This window comes from Homo sapiens, chromosome 3 (assembly GCF_000001405.40).
Source record: "Homo sapiens chromosome 3, GRCh38.p14 Primary Assembly".
Taxonomy (NCBI): Eukaryota; Metazoa; Chordata; class Mammalia; order Primates; family Hominidae; genus Homo; species Homo sapiens.
The window spans coordinates 101,297,306-101,321,138 of record NC_000003.12 but is presented as its reverse complement, the minus strand read 5'-3'; the positions used below and the strand labels follow the sequence as shown (position 1 = coordinate 101,321,138).

Below are 23,833 nucleotides of genomic sequence, written 5' to 3'. Positions count from 1 at the left end.
TCCTCATGTAGATAAACACACTGGGCCTCACATTTAATGGCAAATTAAGCAACAAAGTTATCGCACAGCTATCATTTATATTAAGTGCTTAATATGTTCCGGGCACTACTCTAAGCAAAGTGAAGATTGAATTAGTTAATTAGTTAATTTAATCCTCACATTAGCTCTACCATGAGTTTACTATTTCTATTCCATTTTATACGTAAGGAAGGAGACAAAGTAAGTGATTTTTCTATCAAGGAAGGAAATTTGCAAGAGAATAGTTTCATTACAAAAACTAAATTTGTACGTAGCTCTGTATTATTGAAATAGGTAGATATAGTCAGTCTGGACTTTTTATGCTTATACATCTTAGTCCCTAGGAAAACCCAGAACTAACAGATTCAGAAAAGTTGGAAAAATCAGTGAATTATATGTGAAACACATTATTCTTAGTGGACTGCTTGTTAAAGGCAAGGAGAGTGTTAGTAAAGAGCTTAGGTAGATTAGAATAAAGAAATTGTCTCTCTCCATCTGCTCTAATTAGCTTATCTCACCAGCTTTTATAGCATGCTGGTTATTTCAGAAAAGAAGTGAGAGCTACTTTGAAAGGACAACCATTTTTCTTTCCGCTAATTTATAATGGTTTTGAAGTGGTTGTTCATTCTCAAACATAGACTTTTAAATGTTAGGTCTTTCCTATAACTCTTTGTTATTGGAAGTTTCAAGGATTTGGACACTCAATTAAGGATTCTGTCCTCTCCTCATTCCTTTGGTTTTGGCCCAAATGATTATGTTTCCTCTTTTTGGGAAGATTTCTCTGGGTATTTTGATATTTGTCCTGATAGAAGGAGACTTTCCATCATTAACAGGTATTTAAAAATCTACATTTGTTTTTATCTTTCCATATCTGTAGTATATGTTCTTCAAAAATAGGATTATTTGATGTGATTGCTGTAAGAAATGGAATCAAATACTACTTTATTAATCTTTGATATGGCTTCATTTAAACCGTTTTAAAATATCTCCAATAATTTTGGTTTTCCCTCATTAGTAATTTCTGGTTTAAACCTTACTTTTATTTATTTTGTTGAAATTGGATGTGTATTTACTTGATTTTGATAACAATCTTGAATGAAAGGAGTGGGAGTTAAATGGAAAAAGATGGACTGCCTCACTCCTCTTTTCCTTAGATATGCATGCCTGCCTATGATTTGGGCACTGGCTTCTCTATCTTAATGTAGCCCAAGTGTCAGTTTTTCTTTAGTTGTTACCTTTTGTACTGTATCTTCATTATCGAAGACTTGACTATACTTTCACTCTGTAGCACAAACCTACTTATCTATAGAGGAGATCCAAGAACCCAAGAGTGCAGTTTCTTTTCTCCTGCCTGAAGAATCAACAGACCTTTCTCTAGCTACCAAAAAGAAACAGCCTCTGGACCGCAGAGAAACTGAAAGACAGTGGTTAATCAGAAGGCGGAGATCTATTCTGTTTCCTAATGGAGTGAAAATCTGCCCAGATGAAAGTGTTGCAGAGGCTGTGGCAAATCATGTGAAGTATTTTAAAGTCCGAGGTAAGCGAACATCCAAATCCTTCAGCTCCATAATGAAATTCAAACATAGTTTAATCATTTGTTAGGTAACATTGTAAATCAAAATTTACGATAATTTAGACAGGACTGAGCCAAAACTACCTTTCTACTGCTAAGAATATAGTGTTAATGGTAACTTCAGAGAACAGTTTACATTAAGAGAGGAGGTTTGTTTTTTTTCCAGTGCCCTCCAGTTAAGGCAATAATATCATTTAATAATGACATGCACTTTGAACCAAAGGAAGAACGCTTTCATGATTTGAGTTTGTAGCTTTTGGTGCGTTATGTAAGAAACTTTTTTCACATGAGGGCAGTCACAATAAGATGTCTTTCATTAATTTCAACAACATATTCAGAGAGGAAATGTCTTAAATCTTTTTAAGCACTTCAAAAATACCAGTTTATGTTTTGGGCTACATTAATTTTAATTTTTACTTCTTCATTACAGTAAATGCCTAAGTATACCCACAAAATAGCTTTACCAAAGTATACTCACCTGCTTGCCTATTTATTAATAGTTATTATATATACAAATATAATGTTTCTATATTTTATAGTTTAGATATTCTGCAGATTCACACAGGTTGCTCTCTAGTTGGTACACATAAAATTTTCACATCTAAAATGATGGCATTTCTCAAAATCTCACATTTTATTTTGTCTTTAAACAGTATTCTTGATCTCATACTTTTTATGTAAGTCAATTCTGTTTCTCATATATTTACTAAATTGCTTAATTGACCTTAGTATGTCCCTTAGACATTTGAAGGATTCCCAAACTTTGCTTTTTACTGCTCAAGAACCAATAAAAAGCCATAATATGGATGTGATGTTAGTAAACAAGGTGAAATTAGATGATGAAGTGATTGTAAAATGAGGCTTTTAAATTCATGCATTTATTCATTAATTCATTCAACAAATGTTTATTGAGCCCGAATTTTCCAGGCACTGGATTATATGAACCTTCTGTCTGAGCTGCTACTTTATCTTCTTTTCCTCTTCCTGTCCTTCCCTTCTTCCCTTCTCATCAAAGTTTTAAAAACACAATAAAAATTTAATATAATACCAGCTATTACACATATTTATATATTTGATATTTTTGTTAAAGTAGTACAATGTATATTGGCAGCTCTTTGTTATGAGTGTATTTCTATTTCTTGATTGTATTTGGGAGCTATCAAATATTACTATGCAATAAGCTTTCCTTTTACTTTTTAAATGGAGATCCACAGACCTGGCATTTTGAGTATAGGCCATATGCCAGAAATGGAAAATTCCAAAGACAGTGGGAAGAGAATAAAGGAACTGAAGGTGAATGAGGATGACAGTTAATAATTTATCAAGATTCGATTTCTACCACCTGGATTTTTACTTTATATTATTATTATTATTATTATTATTATTATTATTATTATTTATTACTATTTTTTGGGACATACTCACATTCTGTCGCCCAGGCTGGAGTGCAGTGGCATGATCTCGGCTCACTGCACCCTCCACCTCCTGGGTTCAAGTGATTCTCCTGCCTTAGCCTCCCAAGTAGCTGGGATTACAGGCACATGCCACCATGCCCAGCTAGTTTTTTTTGTTTTGTTTTTTTGTGTTTTTGGTAGAGATGGGGTCTCACCGTACTTTATATTATTTTAAAATAAGAATATCTTGGTATTTTGGGAACTGATTAAATAGTGAAGAGGAAATAACCAATCATGTAAGGGATTTGGTCATACCTTTTGATTGCTTTGCTCTTGTTTTTATAAATTCAAGAGATACTGTTGAAAAAGAAGCTGACAAAAATGAACATAAAGCATTCCTAGAATAATTGATTTTAAAATACAGATGCTATGAATAGGATCCTTGAAAAGGGATCTCATACAGCTAAGATGGTTGGCACACCACATCAAGATTATAGCTGAGATAGCTGTTATGGTCATGGTAAAGAATAAATATTTCATTTGTTTTTAAAAATTGACAGAAATGAGTATTTTAACATAGGTCTTGCTTGATTTTGAAGAGATAATTTGTATTATGCCCTTAACACCAAATGTTTGCAATTTAGAGGGAGGGAGTTATTCAATATCCAATTAAGGATCTTAGCTCTTTCTACCAAGCTAATTCAGTCTAATGGTTTGCTCAATTTTTCCTTCATAGAGAATTTGGTATCAATTGCTAGTTGTTGTAACAAATTTGAAAAGTGTTTCTAAGCAAGACACAACTATATTTAACCTAATGTTTTGTAAAATTAAACAGCATACTAGGATGCCCCTCTCTTTTTTAAAAAAAATATTCGTTGTTGGACTTTTTAAAATATAGCTTTATTGAGGTATATTTTAATGAAATACAGCCTGCATATATTTAAAGTATACCATTTCATTAGTTTTGACGAATTTACCCTTGAAACCATCATTATAGTTAAGATAATAAACCTATCAATCACTCTTAAACATTTCTTCATGACCATTTATAATGCCCACCTCCCTCACTACCTCTCCTTACCCCAATACTGAGGCAACCATGAATTTGCTTTCTATCGCTATGTATTAGTTTGCATTTTCTATACTTTTATATATAAATGGAATATACTCTTTGGTATATACTCTTTTTTTGGTCTGGTTTCTTTTACTCAGTGTAATTATTTTGAAATTTATGCATGTGTTTTGTGTATCAATAGTTTGTTAGCTTTTATTGTTGGGTAGTATTCTATATTACGGATATACCACAATATGGGATATTTGGGTTGTTTTTAGTTATTACTGATTACAAGAAAAGAAATTATGGTCATTTGGGTACAAGTTTTTCTGTGAACATATTTTCATTTCTATTGAGTAATAATAGTGGAACGTCTGGGTCACGTGATAGGTATACGTTTAACTTTCCAGTAAATTGTCAAGTTTTCCAATATGACTGTATCACCAACAGTGTAGTAGGATTCCGTTTTCTTCACATCCTCTCAACACTTGGTATAGTTGGTCTTTTTTAACTTTAGCCATTCCAGTGGATGTATATCTTATTGTGGTATTAATTTGCATTTTCCTAACCACTTATGACTAACAATTTTGAGCATTTTTTTTACATAATTATCTGTCATTTATATATCTTTTTTTAGTGAGGAGTCTATTTGAATATTTTGCCCATTAAAAAATGGGTTGCTTGTCTATTATTGAGTTGTAATAGTTCTTAATGTGTTCTAAATTTAAGTTCTTTGTCAAACATATATTTTGCATACATTTTTCTTGCAATCTGTAGCTTGCCTTTTCTATTTTCTTGATGATGTATTTTAAGGAGCAGAAGTTTTAACATTTGATAAAGTCAAATTTATCAGGCTTTTTGGGGGAGCATCCTTTTAGTTTTTGATCTTAGTTTGCTAACCCAAGATCACAAAGTTTTTTCTTTCTCAGTCTTTTCCTGTAGAATTTTTACAGTTTTTAGGTTCTAGACTTAAAACTGTAATCTTCTTTAATTTTTGATTATGACATATGGATCAAAGTTAATATTTTTATATGCATAGCTAATTGTTCCAATACCATTTGTTAAAAAAAGATTATCCTTTCTTGGCTTTGCACCTTTGTTGAAAATCAGTGTTTATATATGGTGGATCTATTTCTGCCCTCTTCATTCTGTTCCACTTATTTGTCTATTTTTATGCCAATACCATAGTGTCTTATTTACTGTAAGCTTTATTATAGGTCTTGAATCAGATAGTCAAGTCCTCCAACCTCTGTTTTTTTTTCAAATTTGTTTGGTTATGCAGTCTTTTATATTCCATATAAATATTAGAATCAGCTTACCAATTTTTACAAAAGGGCTGCTGAAATTTTGATTTGGATTGTGTTTCATTCTATAGATCAGTTTGGGGAGAATTGCCATCTTAATACAGATTGACTATTTCTTATCCAAAATGCTTGGGACCAGAAGTGTTGTGGGTTTCAGATTTTCCTGGATTTGTGAATATTTGCATAGACATGAGATATCTTGAGAATGAGACTGAAATCTATACACAGAATTCAGTTATGTTTCGTATACACCTTATACACTTATCTGAAGTAATTTTATACCATATTTTTGATAATTTTGTGCACGAAATAAGTTTTTGTACATTTAACCATCAGAAAGCAAAGGTGTCACTATTTCAGGCACCCACGTGGACAGTCTGTAGTTGTTTGGCATCATCATCGTCCCTGACTCTGAATTTACATTCTACAAAAAAACAATAATTTTCTTACACTTACTTACATATCAGTACTTCACAGTAAAAAATATGCTATACTGTTAGTACAGTGAAGAAGAATGTGTTCAGGGTACTAAACAGAACAGTGGCATCACCAGAATACCTGCCTCAGCTGTTAAACAACAGTAACAACAAACAATGGCAGGCTTCTAGTTTCTTTCTACAATTCTGTGTTTCGATTAAAGGTTATTGTACAACATACTTTATTTATTACTGTTGTTCGTGTGTCTGGTCTGCATGGGTGCCATTTTATGACCCCTTGTAGGTATGCTTGGTGGAGTAATCTGGACATGGGCAGAAAAGATATAACACAGCTGAAGGGAGCTGGGAGAGTCTTTTTTCCCTTGGGTACTCTTGTCTAGTGAGCCTGCATTTTGACTGTCACCCATCAAAAGAGGTCAGGTGTGGAATTTGCTACTTGTGGTATCATGCTGGCACTCAAAAAGTTTCATATTTTGGAGCATTTTGGATTTTTGGATTAGGGATGTTCAACCTATATTGAGTCTTCTGATCTATGAACATGATATATCCCTCCATTTATTTAGGTCATCTTCAGTTTCTTTCAGGAATGTTTTCTGATTTTTATTCATTCATTTATTCATTTGTTAATTTACACATGAAATCTTATTTATACTGATTCTACCAGGTATAGTATTAACCACAATAATTAAAACACTGTAGAGTGTGCAATAGTAAAGGTTTGTACAAAGTGTATATGTGGGAAGGACACAAGTGGGAATGGCCATCCATGCCTGGGGTGATAGAAGTTAGTTAACCTGGATTTCGAAGAATGAGTTGGCATTTTCCAATGAATCAGAGTGGGAAACAGCCCATGGAAGGTTTCAGGACCCAAACGCTGGGTATAGTTTCATTTGTTTAAAACTTACTATACAAGTTTAGAGTCCTAGGGAGTGAAGCCATCCACAGCCCATACTTGACTGATATATATGGTTACCAGATTTAGCATATAAAAATGCAGGACACCCAGTTAAATTTCAATTTCAAATAGACAACAAATAATCTTTTTAGTGTACGTATGTCCCATGCAATATTTGAGCCACAGGGCTATGCAAATCTGAGTCTGAGATACAAGTTTATTGGCTGTTTGTTTTTAGGAATATTATTCAATTTGTTAAAATCTTAGTTTCCTCACCCTTGAAATGGGAATAATAATAATATAAAATATATTTAAAGGTTTTAGTGAATTTGGCTAAGAGTTCTAGGGCCATTGTAGATCCCAAATAAATGACAATGTTATTGATTGAATGGAAGGAACATATAACCAATGTTTAGTGTATGGATCTTGCATATCTTTTATCAGATTTATTTATAAGGATTTCACATTTTTTCATCTATTATTAGTGATATTTTAAAAAATGTAATTTCTGATTATTCCTTGCTAGTATATAGAAATACAACTGATTTTTGTATATTGGCCTTTTATCCTGCAACTTTGCTGAACTCACTTACCAGTTCTAGTAGCTTTTTTGGGTATATTCCTTAGGGCTTTCTACATAGATAATTATTTCATCTACAAATATGGTTATACTACTTAACAATTTCTATGCCTTATATTTCTTTTTCTTGCCTTATTGCACCAAAATGGACTATTCCATATGCTTTGGGCTCCACAATTCTGAAAGGAAAATATATTACACTAAAAAAAGATAATTCCATGCTGGATTTCTGGATTCCTAAGTTTTAGATAAGACACAGCTGGAGATCTAGTAGAAGGATTAAAGACAGGTTAAATGCTGGCATTTTCTTCAGAATATTATAACATTTTTCCCTTCCACCACTAGTTTCCAGGGCAGGTTATTTCTGCTAGAAGAGAGCCCATTTGTACATCTTCTCAAAATAGAAAGCTCTCTTCAGAAGTTACCAAAGGCTATAATATCCTTATTTGACAAGGATGGGAATTCTGAACTGTTTAGTTACAGGCCAAGTAGTGAAGTATGCAGTATTTATCAGTGATGGAATTTTACCTTCCTTAGTACCTCTTTGCCTGGAGGTCATGCTGATTTTGCTCTTCTCTCTTCTGCCTACAGTGTCCTATCTAGGTTTCTCCTTTCTGAGCTGTGCAAATGCTTCAGAACATGTAACCATTCTGAATCCTGTTATTCCAAGTTAGTTAGTTGAACCTTCTTGTCAGATAGCTCCTAATTGAAAAGCCATTGGATTAAGCATGCATTCCCTTTCCAGAGGGAATTGCATTTTTTACAGCTTTTATTGGGATGTAATTCAAGTTTGATACAATTTACCCATTCATACTACAAAATTAAGTGGCTTTTTAGTATATTCACAGATATACCAAATCACCACAGTCAGTTTAAGAACATTTTTATCACCTCAAAAAGAAACATGTGACCCTTTAGCTATCATCCTTTTATCCTTTTATCTCCCTTCCCCCTCTTCCCAGGCCTAAGTAAACGCTAATCTACTTTCTGTCTTTACAGAATTGTGTATTCTGGATATATCATAAAATAAGATCGTATAATATATGGTCTTTTGTGACTGGCTTCTTTCACTTTGCATATTATTTTCAAAGTTCATCCATGTTGTACATGTATCAGTACTTTATTCCTTTTTATGGTCCAATAATATTTTAGTGTATGGATAGATCACATTTGTCAGTCAATGGGCATTTACATTGTTTGCATTTCTCTTAGGTATTTATCTAGGAGTAGAATTTCTGGGTCATATAGTAACTTTATAACTACATGAGGAACTGCCAGACTAATTTCCAAAGTGATTGTACTGTGTTATATCCCACCAGCAGTGTATGGGGGTTCTGATTTAGTCATATCTTTGCCAGCAATGTTTTCCTTTTTTTTAAAAAAAGTATAACCATTCTTATAGGTTTGAAATGATGTCTCATTGTGATTTTGATTTACATTTCCCTAATGATTAATAACGTTCAACTTTTCATATGCTTATTTATCATTTGTATATCTTCCTTTGAAAATGTCTGTTCAGAACTTTGCCCATTTTTAAATTATGTTATTTGTCTTTTTATTATTGAGCTGTAATTTATTTATTCTGGCTATAAATCCCTTATCAGATAAATGATTTGAAAATATTTTATCCCATTCTGTAGGTTGTTTTTCACTTTCTTGATGGTATCTTTCATGCACAAAAGTTTTTTATTTTGATGAAGTCCAATTTATCTATTTTTTTGAGCCTTTGGTGTCATAACTAAGAATCCATTGCTGAACCTGAGGTCATAAAGATTTATTCCTGTATTTCTTTCTAAGAGTTTTATAGTTTTGGTGTGTACGTTTAAGTTTTTCATCTATTTTGAGTTGATTTTTTTTTGTATATGATGTAAGGATCTAAATTTATTAGTTTGCATGTGGCTATCCAGTTCTCCAAGCACCATTTGTCGAAAAGGCTATTCTTTTCCACTGAGTGATATTAGCACTCTTGCTGAAAATCACTTGACCATGACACATGATTTATTTCTGGACTCTCAATTGTATTCCATTGATTTATATGTCTATTCATGTGCCAGTTCTGTAGTCTTTGCTTTTAGTATGTTTTGAAATTAGGCATGAATTCACCATCTTTGTTGTTTTTAAAGATTACTTTGGCTATTCTAGGTCCCTTGCAATTCCACATAAATTTTATAGTAAGGTTGTCAGTTTCTACAAAGAAGTCAGCATGTATTCTGATAACATTGCATTGAATGTGTAAATCAGTTTGGAGATAATGCCATCTCAACAGTGTTAAATGTTCCAGTCTATAAATATGGGACGTTTTTCCATTTATTTAGGTCTTTATTTTTTAAAATAATTTTTTGGTTCTCAGAGTATGTTTTGCATTTTGGGAGACTTAGGTTTATTCCTAAGCATTTTAATCTTTTTGATGCTTTTGCATACATACTTGTTTTCTTATGTTCATTTTTTGATTGTTCATTGCTATCATACAGGCATACAACTGATTTTTGTATATCAGTTTTATATCCTGCAACCCTGCTGAACTTGTTTATTAGTTCAAATAGTTTTAAAGTGGATTCCTTAGGTTAGGCTTTCCTAGATACAAGCTCATGTCATCTGTAGACAGATGTAGTTTTACATCTTTTCCAATTTGGCTGCCTTTTATTTCCTTTTCTTGCCCAATTGCCCTGGTTAGAACCACTGATTTTCACTTTTTTTTTTTTTTACCTAGTTGTAGTAGATTTTCCTAAGCAAATGTTTCTTCATTAGTCATGTGCCCCTAGGACCATTTCCAGAGCTTTAAATGATTGTTTTCAAAATGATTTTTGCCCATTTCTCTTGGGGGTGGATCTGTGTAGCCCCTCACTCTTCATGCTGGAAATGGGACTCTGGCAATTGAATTTGAATAGACTACAAGGTATAAAAGGGTTAAATGTAACTTAAAAGAATGAATTTCTATGGAGTATTTTAGACAAAGCATTGAACTACTGAGAGAGCTTTTTATAGGAGGTGGGGAAACATTGCCCAAAGCATAATTTATAGGAGACAGCTTGTGCTATTCTGTGAAGCTAGGAGTGAGGTCAAGGGGAGGTCTGCTATGAAGCCTGGTGATTTATATCACTTCTGGAAGCTCTCCCATATTCCTTCCAACTACATTTCTTCGGCACACAATAATGTTTTTCTAAGATTTTATGAAAACATTTTAAACAGAAAAGTGAAAGAATGATGTCGTAAACACTCATATTCTCACAGCTTAGTTCTACAGTTAACATTTTATTATGTTTGCTTTATTATGTGTCTATCTCTGTAACCATCTTTTTTTTTTTTTTTTTTTTTTTTTTTTTTGAGACAGGGTCTCACTTTGTCACCCAGGCTGAGGTGCAGTGGTGTGATTACACCTCACTGCGTACTCGATCTCCCTGGGTTCAGATGATCCTCCCACCTCAGCCTCCGGAGTAGCTGGAACTATAGGCACGTGCCACCATGCCCGGCTAATTTCTTTGTAATTTTCGTAGAGACAAGATATCGTTGCCCAGGCTAATCTTGAACTCCTGGGCTCGAGTGATCTGCCTACTTTGGCCTCCCAAAGTGCTGGGATTACAGGTGTGAGCCACCATGCCTAGCTTAACCATCTAATCCTTTAAATGTATTTCATAAGTTGAAGACATCAGTGCAATTCCCTCTAGATATTTCAGTATGAGTATCATTAACTAGAGCTCAATATTTGTTTACTTTCTTAAAGGTGAAATTTACAGAGTGAAATGCATAAATCTTATATGTACTACTTGGTGACTTTTGACTAATACACACTAACCCCAACCTCTCTTAAGTTTTAGGGTATTATCACCCCAGAAAGTTCTCTTATACTCCTTCCCAGATACTTCCCATTCTAGTATGTGACCACTCTTTGAACCATTTTTAAACTCATAGATTATTTTCACTTTCCTAGGACTTTATATAAATAGAATAGTATGTGCTCTTTTGTGTAATGCTTCTTTCACTCAGCCCATTGAGATTCATCCATGTTGTTGCATGAATTAGTAATTTCCTTTTGATTCCATTATATGGCCATTTGTTTATTTTTCTATTGATGGATACTTGGGTTGTTTTCATTTTTAAGTTATTATGAATAAAGTTGCTCTGGCATTGAACATAAATCTTTCTGTGGATATATGCTTACAGGAATACCTAGGAGGAAATTGCTGGGTCATAGGTGATATGGTTTGGCTGTGTCCCCACCCAAAATTTCATCCTGAGTTATAATCCCCATATGTCGGGTGTGGGACCTCATGGGGGGAGATTAGATCATGGGGGGTGGTTCCCCCATGCTGTTCTTATGATAGTGAGCAAGTTCTCATGAGATCTGTGGCTTAATAAGGGGCTTTCCCACGTTTAAGTGGAATTTTGTGGAATTTTGAACTTGAGAGAGAGCACTTCTCTATCCCGATGCCATGTGAAGAAGGATGTGTTTGCTCCCCCTTCCACCATGATTGTAAGTTTCCTGAGGCCTCCCCAGCCATGCAGAACTGTGAATAATTTAAATCTCTTTCCTTTATAAACTCTTCAGTCTTGGATATTTCTCCACAGCAGCATGAGAATGGACTAATACAGCAAATTGGTACCAAGGAGTAGGGCATTGCTGTAAAGATACCCAAAAATGTGGAAGCAACTTTGGAACTGGGTAACAGGCAGAGGTTGGAAAGGTTTGGAGGGCCCCGAAGAAGACAGGAAGATGTGGGAAAGTTCAGAACTTCCTAGATACTTGTTGAATGTTTTTGACCAAAATGCTGATAGTGATATGGACAATGAAGTCCAGGCTGAGGAGGTCTCACATGGAGATGAGGATCTTGTGGGAACTGGAATAAAGGTGACTCACTATGTCTTAGCAAACAGACTGGTGGCATTTTGTCCCTGCCCTAGAGATCTGTGGAATTTTGAACTTGAGAGAGATGATTTAGGGTATCTGATGGAAGAAATTTCTAAGCTGCAAAGCATTCAAGAGGTGACTTGGGTGCTGTTAAAAGTGTTCAGATTTATATATTCACAAGGATATGGTTTGGAATTGAAAGTTATGTTTAAAAGGGAAGCACAGCATAAAAGTTTAGAAAATTTGCAGCCTGACAATGTGATAGAAAAGAAAACCCATTTTCTGAGAAGAAATTCAAGCTGGTTGCAGAAATTTGCATAAGTAGTAATAAGCCAAATGTTAATCACCAAGACAATGGGGAAAATGTCTTCAGGGCATGTCAGAGGTCTTCACAGCAGCCCCTCTCATAACAGGCCCAGAGGCCTAGAAAGAAAAAATGGCCAGGCCCAGGGCCTTGCTGCTTTATGCAGTTTCTGGAGTTGGTGCCCTGTGTGCCAGCCATGGCTAAAAGGGGCCAACATAATGCTCAAGCTGTTGCTTCAGAGGGTGCAAGCCCCAGGCCTTGGCAGCTTACATGTGGTGTTGGGCCTGCAGGTGCACAGAAGTCAAGAATTGAGGTATGAGAACCTTCACCTAAATTTCAGAGGATGTAGTGAAATGTCTGGATGTCCAGGCAGAAGTTTTTTGCAGGGGTGGAGCCCTCATGGGGAACATCTGCTAGGGCAGTGTGGAAGGGAAATGTGGGGTTGGGGCCCCACACAGAGTCCCCACTGGGGCACTGACTAGTGGAGCTATGAGAAGAGGGTCACTGTCCTCCAGACCCCAGAATGGTGGATCAACCAACAACTTGCACCATGCACCTGAAAAAGCCAGAGACACTCAATGCCACACTGTGAAGGCAGCTGGGAGGCGGGCTGTACCCTGCAAAGCCACAGCAGTGGAGCTGCCCAAGACTGTGGGAGTCCACCTCTTACATCAGTGTGACATGGATGTGAGACATGGAGTCAGAAGAGATCATTTTGGAGCTTTAAGATTTCACTTAATTTTGGCCAATTTTGGCCAATTTCTCCCATTTGCAACAGGTGTATTTACCCAAAGTCTGTACCTCCGTTGTATCTAGGAAGGAACTAACTTGCTTTTGATTTTACAGGCTCATAGGTGGAAGGGACTTGCCTTGTCTCAGATGAGACTTTGGACTTGGACTTTTGGTTAATGCTGGAATGAGTTAAGACTTTGGGAGACTGTTGGAAAGGCATGGTTGTGTTTTGAAATGTGAGGACATGAGATTTGGGAGGGGCCGGGGCAGAATGATACAGTTTGCCTGTATCCCCACCCAAAATCTCATCTTGAATTTTAATCCGAATTGTAATCCTTATGTGTTGGAGGCAGGACCCTGTGGGAGATGATTAGATTATGGGAGTTGTTCCCCCATGCTGTTTTCATGATAATGAGCAAGTTCTCACATGATCTGATAGCTTTTTAAGGGGCTTTCCCCCACTTCACTCAACATTTCTTTCTCCTGTTGCCATGTGAAGAAGGATGTGTTTGCTTCCCTTCCACCATGATTGTAAGTTTCCTGAGGCCTCCCCACCCATGTGGAACTGTGAGTCAGTTAAATCTCTTTCCTTTATAAAGTACCCAGTCTTGGGCATTTCTTCATAGCAGCATGAGAATGGACTAATACAATAGGATTGGTGTATATTTTGTTATATAAGAAACAATTAACATTTATTTCAAAGTGGTTATACTATTATACATTCCTACCAAAAATGAGGCTTTTGGTTGCTCTGCATTTTTGCCAAATTTTGGTGTTGTCCATGTAAAAATTTCAGTCATTCTTGGTTTGTGTGTGGATACTTTAATTTGAATTTCTCTGAAAAATGAATGATGGTGAACAGTTTTTCACATACTCATTGGCTATTTTTATCTCTTCCTTTGTGAAGTATATATTCCAGCCTTTTACCTATTGTAAAAATTAGGTTGTTTGTTTTTTTGTTAGGGAGTTGTAGGAATTATTTCAGTGCCCTAAATACCAGTTCTTTGGCAGATATATGTATTTGGAATATTTTCTGCCAGATATGTGGTTTGCCTACTCATTTTTATTAACAGTATCTTTTGATAATCAGACACTTTTTAGTTTTGATGAATTCTAATTTATTGTTTTTTTCTTTCATAATTGTTGCTTTCTGTGTACTGCCTATAAAATCTTTGTCTATCCTCAAGTGATGTAGATATTCTTCTATGTTTTATTTTAGAAACTTCATAGTATTAGCCCTAATATTTCAAATCATTTTTTGTGTATAGTATGAAGAAGGCATTGAGATTTATTTTTTCTTTCCCTATGGGTAGATAGTTATTTTTTTCAAACATTGTTTTATACTTTCTCTGAATCACTTCATTTCATTACCAGACATTATAGACATTCACTTTTTGTTAGTTTTTACTGACCCAGACTTTTCACCTTTGCATTGTCTTTTGGAATTTACTTTAATTTTCATTTCGAAGTTTTAAGAAGAAGAAATGAAAAACAATGATCTACAAATAGTTCAGCTCTGCCTCAGTCAGTGCCCGCTGTATGCTGTATGGTCAGAAGTTCTTAATAACAATAATAAGGATACAGGTAGTTCACTAAAAGACAAATTAAGTTTGTAATGAAAGGTTTGGTTTAGCCCTAAAACCCAATTGATAGAGAAACTTTCAATACTCATACATTTCATAATCTGTTAAAGCTTAAGAATTTTTTTGGCTTAGACTATCTTCTTCTACCAAATAACTATTGGACAATTAGAATTGAACACGATAATAACATATGATATTCATGTAGCACTTTGCAATTTGTAAAATACTTTCACAGATAAGATAATAAGGCAGTAATTATTTATCCTGTTAAAAAGAGAGATGAGTCAATTGAAGCTTTGAATAGTTAGGTAAGTTACCCATGGTATCAAACTAGTATACTGGAAAGCTAGAGCGGGAACTTAGATCTTCTGACTGTGGGAGTCCAGAGGCTCCACCTCAATGTGGATCCTGCCTGATGTGTGTTCAATCTTCTTGCTATGAAAAATAGTTTTTTTAATCTCTGTTAAATCTAACTTTCTCTCTTACCACTCTCTTCCTTTTCCCTTCCATCCTGATGTATCTGTTACCTACAGTGTCCTGCGCCTCTGAAATGGTTACAGAACAGCAGTACATTCAGTACTATACAAAAAGCACAGAGATACTATTTAGCAGCCTTTCAGATTTGATGCTTTGGAATAACTTAGCAAATAAATTGATTAGTTTTTATTATAATACAGCAATATATTTCTCCTGAATATCATTTTAAAGTTCATGTGTATGTATGTATGTGTGTATATATATTTTTTTTTCTTAAATTAATAGGCTATATTTCTTAGAGCAGTTTTAGGTTTACAGAAAAATTGAGCAGTGTGTTTAGAGAGTTACCATGTATTCCCTCAACTCCCCCACCACTTTTCCCTGTTATTAACATTTTATAATATTGTGGCATATGTGTTACAATTTATGTGCCAATATTGACACATTATTCTTAACTGAAGTTCATAGTTAACATTAGGGTTCACTTTTTGTGTTGTACATTCTATGGGTTTTGACAAATGTATAACGACATGTATCCTCCATTATAGTATCATATGGAGTACTCTCACTGCCCTAAAAATCTGCTATGCTCCTCCTATTCATCCCTGTCTCCCTCAACCCCTGGAAACCACTGATCTTTTTACTGTCTCCATAGTTTTGCCTTTTCCAGAATGATATTGGAATCACCAGTATGCAGTCATTTCAGATTGGCTTCCTCTACTTAGCAATGTGCATTAAAGTTTTCTCCATGTCTTTTATGGCTTGAAAGTTCATTTCTGTTTATCATTGAATAATATTTTAGATATATCACAGTTTGTTCATCCTTTCACCTATTGAAGGACATCTTCATCACCCCCAAGTTTTGGCAATTATGAATAAAGCGACTTTAAATACCCGTATGCAGGTTTTTGTGTGAACATAAATTTTTATGTATAAAAAAGATTATTATTTTCTGTTCTCAGATATGAAATATAGTAGTTTGAGAGTGATAATTTCAGGTGGATATCTTCTACTTGATTTTATGTAGTACTTTCTGCTTCCTGTAAGCTTTGAGGAAAAGTTTGAATACTCCTGTTTTTTTTTTTTATCAGAAATATGTGATGACTTTTTGAGCAAGTAGATGCAATGCAGTTATGTCACTGCATTTAGCCAAAAAGCTCCAGGCCATTTATAAACGTCAGTGTCTCCTTCCCCAGTGATCATGAAAAGCAAAGAAGCTGATTTTTGAAGTTATGATTTCAGGAGAACATCTGCAAACATTAAGGAAACTGAAAATCACAGTGTCCATTAGGAAAACATTGGATTAAATACAGTATACTCAATATCAGCTCCACTTTTGTGAAGTATAAACATGGACTTTTTTAAGAGATGGGAGAGACACTCCAGCTCATGAAGAGATGAATCAATTCTCTTTGTAAGAGAAAGGAATGGGAAATATAAATTCTCTTCAGAAATGAAAAGTTTAAACTGGACATACATACAGAAGGCCTTTGACTGAGAATCATTCCTACATCCCTCCAGAAAGGACACTTCAGTGTCTCAAGGAATCTGTACGAATCAGTCTATGATCATTGTAAGAACCCCAGAGCATGTTAGCTTTTTGTAAAAAAACACCTCTCTATTTTCTAGTGTGTCAGGAAGCTGTCTGGGAAGCCTTCAGGACTTTTTGGGATCGACTTCCTGGGCGTGAGGAATATCATTACTGGATGAATTTGTGTGAGGATGGAGTCACAAGTATATTTGAAATGGGCACAAATTTTAGTGAATCTGTGGAACATAGAAGCTTAATCATGAAGGTAAGTGTCACAACAAAGGAAGGGATTCCTGGACTATTGTAGGAGCATTTACACAGCTAAGGCCTAAAGGAAGCAAAAGCAAGTGGCAAATGCCTGTATTACTCTTTTGTTGAATTGGGCTATCTGAGTAAGCTGCCCTAGGGTGTGGCCTAGTCTTTTATTCCTAGCTCTGGCCTCTATAATATACATTATTAATATTTTCATGTTATTCTGTCCACAAAAAGAAAAAGAAGACATTATTAACTCAGACAAGAGCCTCAGCCTTGTTTATAGATGTAAATATTTGGAAATAATATTCAGCAAAGGTTTAGGTTAAGAATATAAATCCGTGAGAGTCAAACATTTTTGCCAAAGTTTTACATGTTATCAACTCAGAGTGAATAGCAATAACTCTAATTAAGATAGAGGACATAGTTCATTTGAATAAATGTTTAGTGAGGCATAGGTATGATTCTAATAATGAGTGTGCTCACTTGTTTTCCTTGTTTTAGACATTGTTTTACTCTTAGCAAAGGATAAATAAACATGCATAAAGACAAATTACCTGCCACTTTTCCCTTTTCGTGTAGCACATATGTATTCATGACAAGAAAGTGAAACTGTCCAGACGTACGTGGCAAATTGTTCATGCTGTTTGTTATTCCGTATATCTCCCTGTCCATCTATTCAGTTCCTCTGTGTCCTCATATGTAACTTCCCTTGCAAGGAACCAAACCTCAGCCTAGAAGATTTAGCTACCATTATTCTTCGAGCTCCCACAATTCTTTATTCATTTTTAATACTGTACTGTTTATATTTTATGATGATTGCTTGTATATGTGACTAATTCCTCTTCTAGACTATGAGTCAAAAGGCAAGGATTATGTCATTGTTTGTTCATTTTTGCATTCCCATAAGGTAGTAAATATGCAATAGATGTTTGTTTAAATGAGTATATGAGCAATAACCACATTGTATTTTTTTACTTGGTACAATTTATAAACTTTATGAAGATTATTTTAAGTACTGGTTCTAAGTATTACATACCTTACAGAGACTGAGGAAATAATTATTGACTGAATAACACTGAGCTATTTTGTGTATAATCAAATCAGATTAGTATATCGTAAAGGTAATAAAATATATTATCCTATTCTATTTTTAAATTTTATTTATAGTAGAAGAATTATATTCTTTTAACATTTAGTCCAAGAGAGGAATGATCTTATTAAATGGGGGACGTTGGGGAGAGAAGGATGGTTTGATAAACGTGGGTGGACCAAAGACAAATTTTGCGAGGGTATAAATGTTTTGAAGCTGTGCAGGGTTTTGTGTGTTTTAAAATGAACGCAACTTTTAATCATGGCACCTCACATTTTAATGAAACGTATTGCATGTGTTTTTTGCCTGCCACATTTTTAACTGCTCAGTATTAATAACTATGTTGATAGCTACTATTTATTCAGTATCTACCATGTACCATGTCATGTATCAAGCTCATCAATAAATTATTAGATGTTATAACAGCAACCTTATAAGGAGGTGGTAATGTCCCCATTTTACAGATATGGACATATAATTATTAAATTCTTTATTCTATAACATAAAACCAGATATGATGGAGCTTAAATCCAAACCCAGTTCTCTTTTCCAAAATTGATGTCTTTTCCCTTCACACCATTGGGCCTCCTTTCTCAATCATTACCAATTTTACAAATTGCAGTGGCTAACATGGGATAGCTATTTAATGGAAAATATATAGACATACACACACATATACATACTTATATTTCTAATTGCATTGCCTATCTTAATTATGTCCGCAATATAGGATCAGCCATTAGTGTGGCAAATATATATGATGGGTTAGTATTACCAGAAGAACAGAATCTTCTGATGTTACCTTGGAATGTATCTCTTACAAGTGGAACTTTTAGTAAATTTATATTTGAAGGCATAGAAAATATACTTCCAATAATTATTTAATAGAAAAAGCAGATGAAGGGAATGATGTGTTGCCTAGATAGAGTTGTAAATGATAAGTACAAGTTACTTAAATGAAGAAGAGCTGGGGATAAACATTCTAGGCAGAAAGGACAGCACGAGCCAAGTGTTTGTAGGGAATGACCTCGGTCAATATACCAAAGAGGTAGACTAGGAATGACAGGAGATCAGACTAAAACAATGGATAACTGAACAAGCTTGGATTTAACTCTGTAGATCGCAGGAAACCATTGAAGGGTTGTAGGTAGGTAAGTTGCAGGAGCTGATTTGGCAGTTTTGAATTTTAAAAAGGTCGTTACGGTTTCTACATAGCATAGGATGGATTATAGGAGATAAAACTGGAACAGAGAGACAAGGTAGGGTGTTGCATCAGTACTCCAGGCCAAAGAGGATAAAGATACCAACCAGACCATGAGATAGACAAAGGAAACTTGAGAGATGTAAATAGGAACAAAATTAGTAGGACACTGATGGGTCGAGACAGGGTGAAGGAATGGCCCAAGAAGCCTTCCAGTTTCTGGCTTGGGTAACTAAGACCAATAACGAGGGCAAAGAAGCAGCTTTGTAGATGTGGCAGGGAGAATGAGTTCACTTTTGATGTATTCATTTGAACCACCTGTGTGAAATGTGAATTGTTTGCTATTTGGGTATGAAGCCAAGGATAGGGGTCTGGGATGCCAATGTTGCTATAGGAATCACCATTTTGGACTTAGTGCGGGCATACTTTATTTTATTGTGCTGCCCTTTATTGTGCTTCACAGATACTGCATTTTTTACAAATCAAAGGTTTATGACAACCCTGTGTCAAGCAAGTCTGTTAGTACCATTCTTCCAACAGCATGTGCTCACTTTGTGTCTCTGTCTCACATTTTGGTAATTCTCAAAATATTCGAAATTTTAAAAAATTATTTTCTTTATCTCTTATGTGATCTGTGATCAGTGATCTTTGATTATTACAATTACAATAACTATTGTAATTGTTGTGGAGTGCCATGAACAATATCCATGTAAGACAACAAGCTTAATTGATAAATGTTGTTTGTGTTTCAACAACTCCACCGACTGACTTTTCCTTGGTCTCTCAGGCCTCAAGCCGTCTCCTCAGGCCTCCCTATTCCCTGAGTTACAGCAATATTGAGATTAGGCCAGTTAATAACCCGACAATGGCTTCTAAGTGTTCAAGTGAAAAGAAGAATAGCATGTCTCTCACTTTAAATCAAAAGTTAGAAATGATTAAGTATAGTGAGGAAAGTATGTCAAAAACTGAGATAGGCCTTAAGCTAGGTCTCTTGCACCAAATAGTTAGCTAAGTTGTGAACGCAAAGGAAAAGTTCTTGAAAGAAATTAAAAGTGGGGGGCGGGGCCAAGATGGCCAACTAGAAGCAGTGGCAATCTGTGGCTCCATCTAAAAGAACCATAACAGCATGTGAATCCTGCACTGGCAGCCAAGGTATCCAGGTTTTGTCATCAGAACTGACTAGGCAACTGGCGTGACCCACGGAGAGGAAGGAAGAGCAGTGTGGTGCCGCAGCCCCCAGCCAAGGGAGGCAGTGAGTGAGCCTGCTACCCAGCCTGGGAAAACGTGCTTTTTCCACGGAACTGTGCAACCCACAGATCAGAAGATCTCACTTGGGAGCCCATACCTCCGGGGCCTAGGGTCCCAACCACAGAACCAAGCAGATTTTCAACAGCCACTAAGCTAGAATCTGCTTAAGCCTGCGGAGCTCCCCGCGGGAGGGGCAACCAGCACCACCGCTGTGGCTGCCTGCTGTCTAAGCCCTTTGAACTCCTTTGCAGGAGGGGCTACAGCCAACACTGGGACTGATAGCTGCCTAACACACTAAGCTCCCAGGGTGGGGGAAGGGTGGCAGCCATCTCTATAGCTCCAGGCCATGTCTTTCCCCTGCTGGAGCCAGGGAGGCTGGACGGCTTGCTCCCAAGAGGTATACCCCACAGTCCAACACACTAGCTGTGGCAGACTGCGGACAGAGCGCCTCTTCAGGCCGGACCTTGACATGTCCCTGCTCACTGGGTGGGGCCTCCTTGCAGGAACTCCAACAACTCCATCCAGGGACTTAGGGACAGACTCTAATCTTCCTGGGCTTGAGCCTCTAGAGGGAGGGGTGGCCACAGTCTCTGCGGACGGGTAGATTTAGTCTTCCCTCCTGGTAGTGCTGAGGAATCTAGGCAACCCAGATGAGTGGGTTTCCCCACAGTGAAGCACACCCCCTCCACCAAGGGGCAAAGTGCTTTGTTAAGTGTGTCCTGTTCCCTGTGTCACCCAACTGGGTGAGACCCTCCAACAGGGGTTGTCAGACACCCTATACAGTAGCATTTCTACTGGCATCAGGTTGGTGCCCCTTGAGGTCAGAGATCACAGAGGAAGGAGCAGGCACCCATCTTTGCTGTTCTCCAGCCTCCTCGAGTGACATCTCCAGGCATGGGAATGAACCAGATGAGTAGGGCCTGAACAGTGAACCCCTAGCAAACTGCAGCAGCCCTACAGAAGAGGGACCTGACCATTGCAAGAAAAACAAACAAACAGAAAACAACAACAACAGCATCAACAACAAAAAAATTCCCTACAAAAACTCAATCCAAGGGTCAGCATCCTCAAGGATTGATACTAGACAAACTTAGAAAGATGAGAAAGAATCAACAAAAAAAGGTTGAAAACCCAAAAGGCCAGAGTGCCTCTTCTCCTCCAAATGATTGCAGTGCCTCTCTAGCAAGGGTGAAGAACTGGATGGAGGATAAGATGGATGAATTGACAGAAGTAGGCTTCAGAAGGTGGGTAATAACAAACACAGCTGAGCTAAAGGAGCATTTTCTAACCCAATACAAACAAGCTAAGAACCTTGATAAAAGGTTACAGGAGCTGCTAACTAGAATAACAAGTTGAGAGAGGAATGTAAATGACCTGATGGAGCTCAAAAACACAGCATGAGAACTTCATGAAAAATACACAAGAATCAGTAGCTGAATCGACCAAGTGGATATTAGAGTTTGAAGACTATTTTGCTGAAATAAGGCATGCAGGCAAGATTAGAAAAAAAGAATGAAAAGGAACAAATGGAACCTCTGAGAAATATGGGACTATGTAAAAAAAACCAAACCTATGATGAGTGGAGTACCTGAAAAAGACAAGGAGAAAGGAACCAAGTTGTAAAACATACTTCAGGATATTATCCAGGAGAACTTCCCCAACCTAGCAAGACAGGCCAACATGCAAATTCAGGAAATACAGAGAACACTCTAAGATACTGCATGAGAAGATCAACCCCAAGACACATAATCATCAGATTCTCTAAGGTTGAAATGAAGAAAAAAACGTTAGAGGCAGCCAGAGACAAAGGCAGGGTTGCCAACAGAGGGGAGGAACATCAGAATAACAGTGGACTTCTCAGCAGAAACCCTACAAGCCAGAAGAGAGTGGGGGCCAATATTCAACATTCTTAAATAAAAGAATTTTCAACCCAGAATTTCATGTTCAGCCAGACTAAGCTTCATAAGTGAAGGAGAAATAAAATCCTTTCCAGACAAGCAAATACTGAGAGATTTCATCACCATCAGGCCTGCCTTGCAAGAGCTCCTGAAGGAAGCACTGAATATGGAAAGGAAAAACTGGTACCAGCCACTGCAGAAACACACCAAAATATAAAGACCAATGACACTATGAAGAAACTGCATCAACTAGTGTGCAAAAATAACCAACTAGCATCATGATGACATAATCAAATTCACACATAACAATATTAACCTTTAGTGTAAATGGGCTAAATGCCCTAATTAAAAGACACAGACAGGCAAATTGGATAAAGAGTCAAGACTCACTGGTGTCCTGTATTCAGGAGACCCATCTGACATGCAAAGACACACATAGGCTCAAAATAAAGGGATGGAAAATTTACCAAGCAAATGGAAAGAAAAAAAAAAGCAGGGGTTGCAATCCTAGTCTCTGACAAAACAGACTTTAAACCAACAAAGATAAAAAAAGACAAAGAAGGGCATTACATAATAGTAAAGGGACCAATTCAAAAAGAAGAGCTAACTATCCTAAATATATATGCACCCAATATAGAAGCACTCAGATTCATAAAACAAGTTCTTGGATGCCTACAAAGAGACTTAGATTCCCACACAATAATAGTGAGAGACTTTAACACTCCACTGTCATATTAGACAGATCAACAAGACAGAAAATTAACAAGGATATTCAGAACTTGAACTCAGCTCAGGATCAAGTGGACCTAATAGTTATCTACAGAACTCTCTACCCCAAATCAACAGAATACACATTCTTCTTAGTGCCACATGGCACTTGTTCTAAAATTGATCACGTAACTGGAAGTAAAACACTCCTCAACAAATGTGAAAGAACTGAAATCATAACAAATAGTCTCACAGACCACAGTGTAATCCTATTAGAACTGAGGCTTAAGAAACTCACTCAAAACCACATGGTTACATGGAAATTGAACAACCTGCTCCTGAATGACTCCTGGGTAAATAATGAAATTAAGGCAGAAATCAAGAAGTTATTTGAAACCAATGAGAACAAAGATACAACATACCAGAATCTCTGGGACACAGCTAAAGCAGTGTTAAGAGGGAAATTTATAGCACTAAATGCCCACAAGAGAAAGCAGGAAAGATCTAAAATTGACATGCTAACATCGCAATTAAAGAGCCAGAGAGGCAAGTGGAAGCTAATCAAAAGCTAGCAGAACACAAGAAACAACTAAGATCAGAGCAGAATTCAAGGAGACAGAGACACAAAAAATCCTCCAAAAAAAAAAATCAATTAATCCAGGAGCTGGTTTTCTGAAAAAATTTACAAAATAGATTGACTGCTAG

The 23,833-nt window shown here is 36.3% G+C and overlaps 1 protein-coding gene across 1 annotated transcript in view; it reads left to right on the top strand.

The window, feature by feature from the left end:
- Window positions 564–23,833, top strand: part of IMPG2 (interphotoreceptor matrix proteoglycan 2) — a 98,030-nt gene continuing 74,760 nt past the window's right edge. The window contains exons 1-3 of the mRNA NM_016247.4: window positions 564–851; window positions 1,307–1,555; window positions 16,827–16,993. Coding sequence (NP_057331.2) covers window positions 767–851; window positions 1,307–1,555; window positions 16,827–16,993 — 501 coding nt within the window. The 5' untranslated portion in view covers window positions 564–766. The remainder of the gene's footprint in view (window positions 852–1,306; window positions 1,556–16,826; window positions 16,994–23,833) is intronic.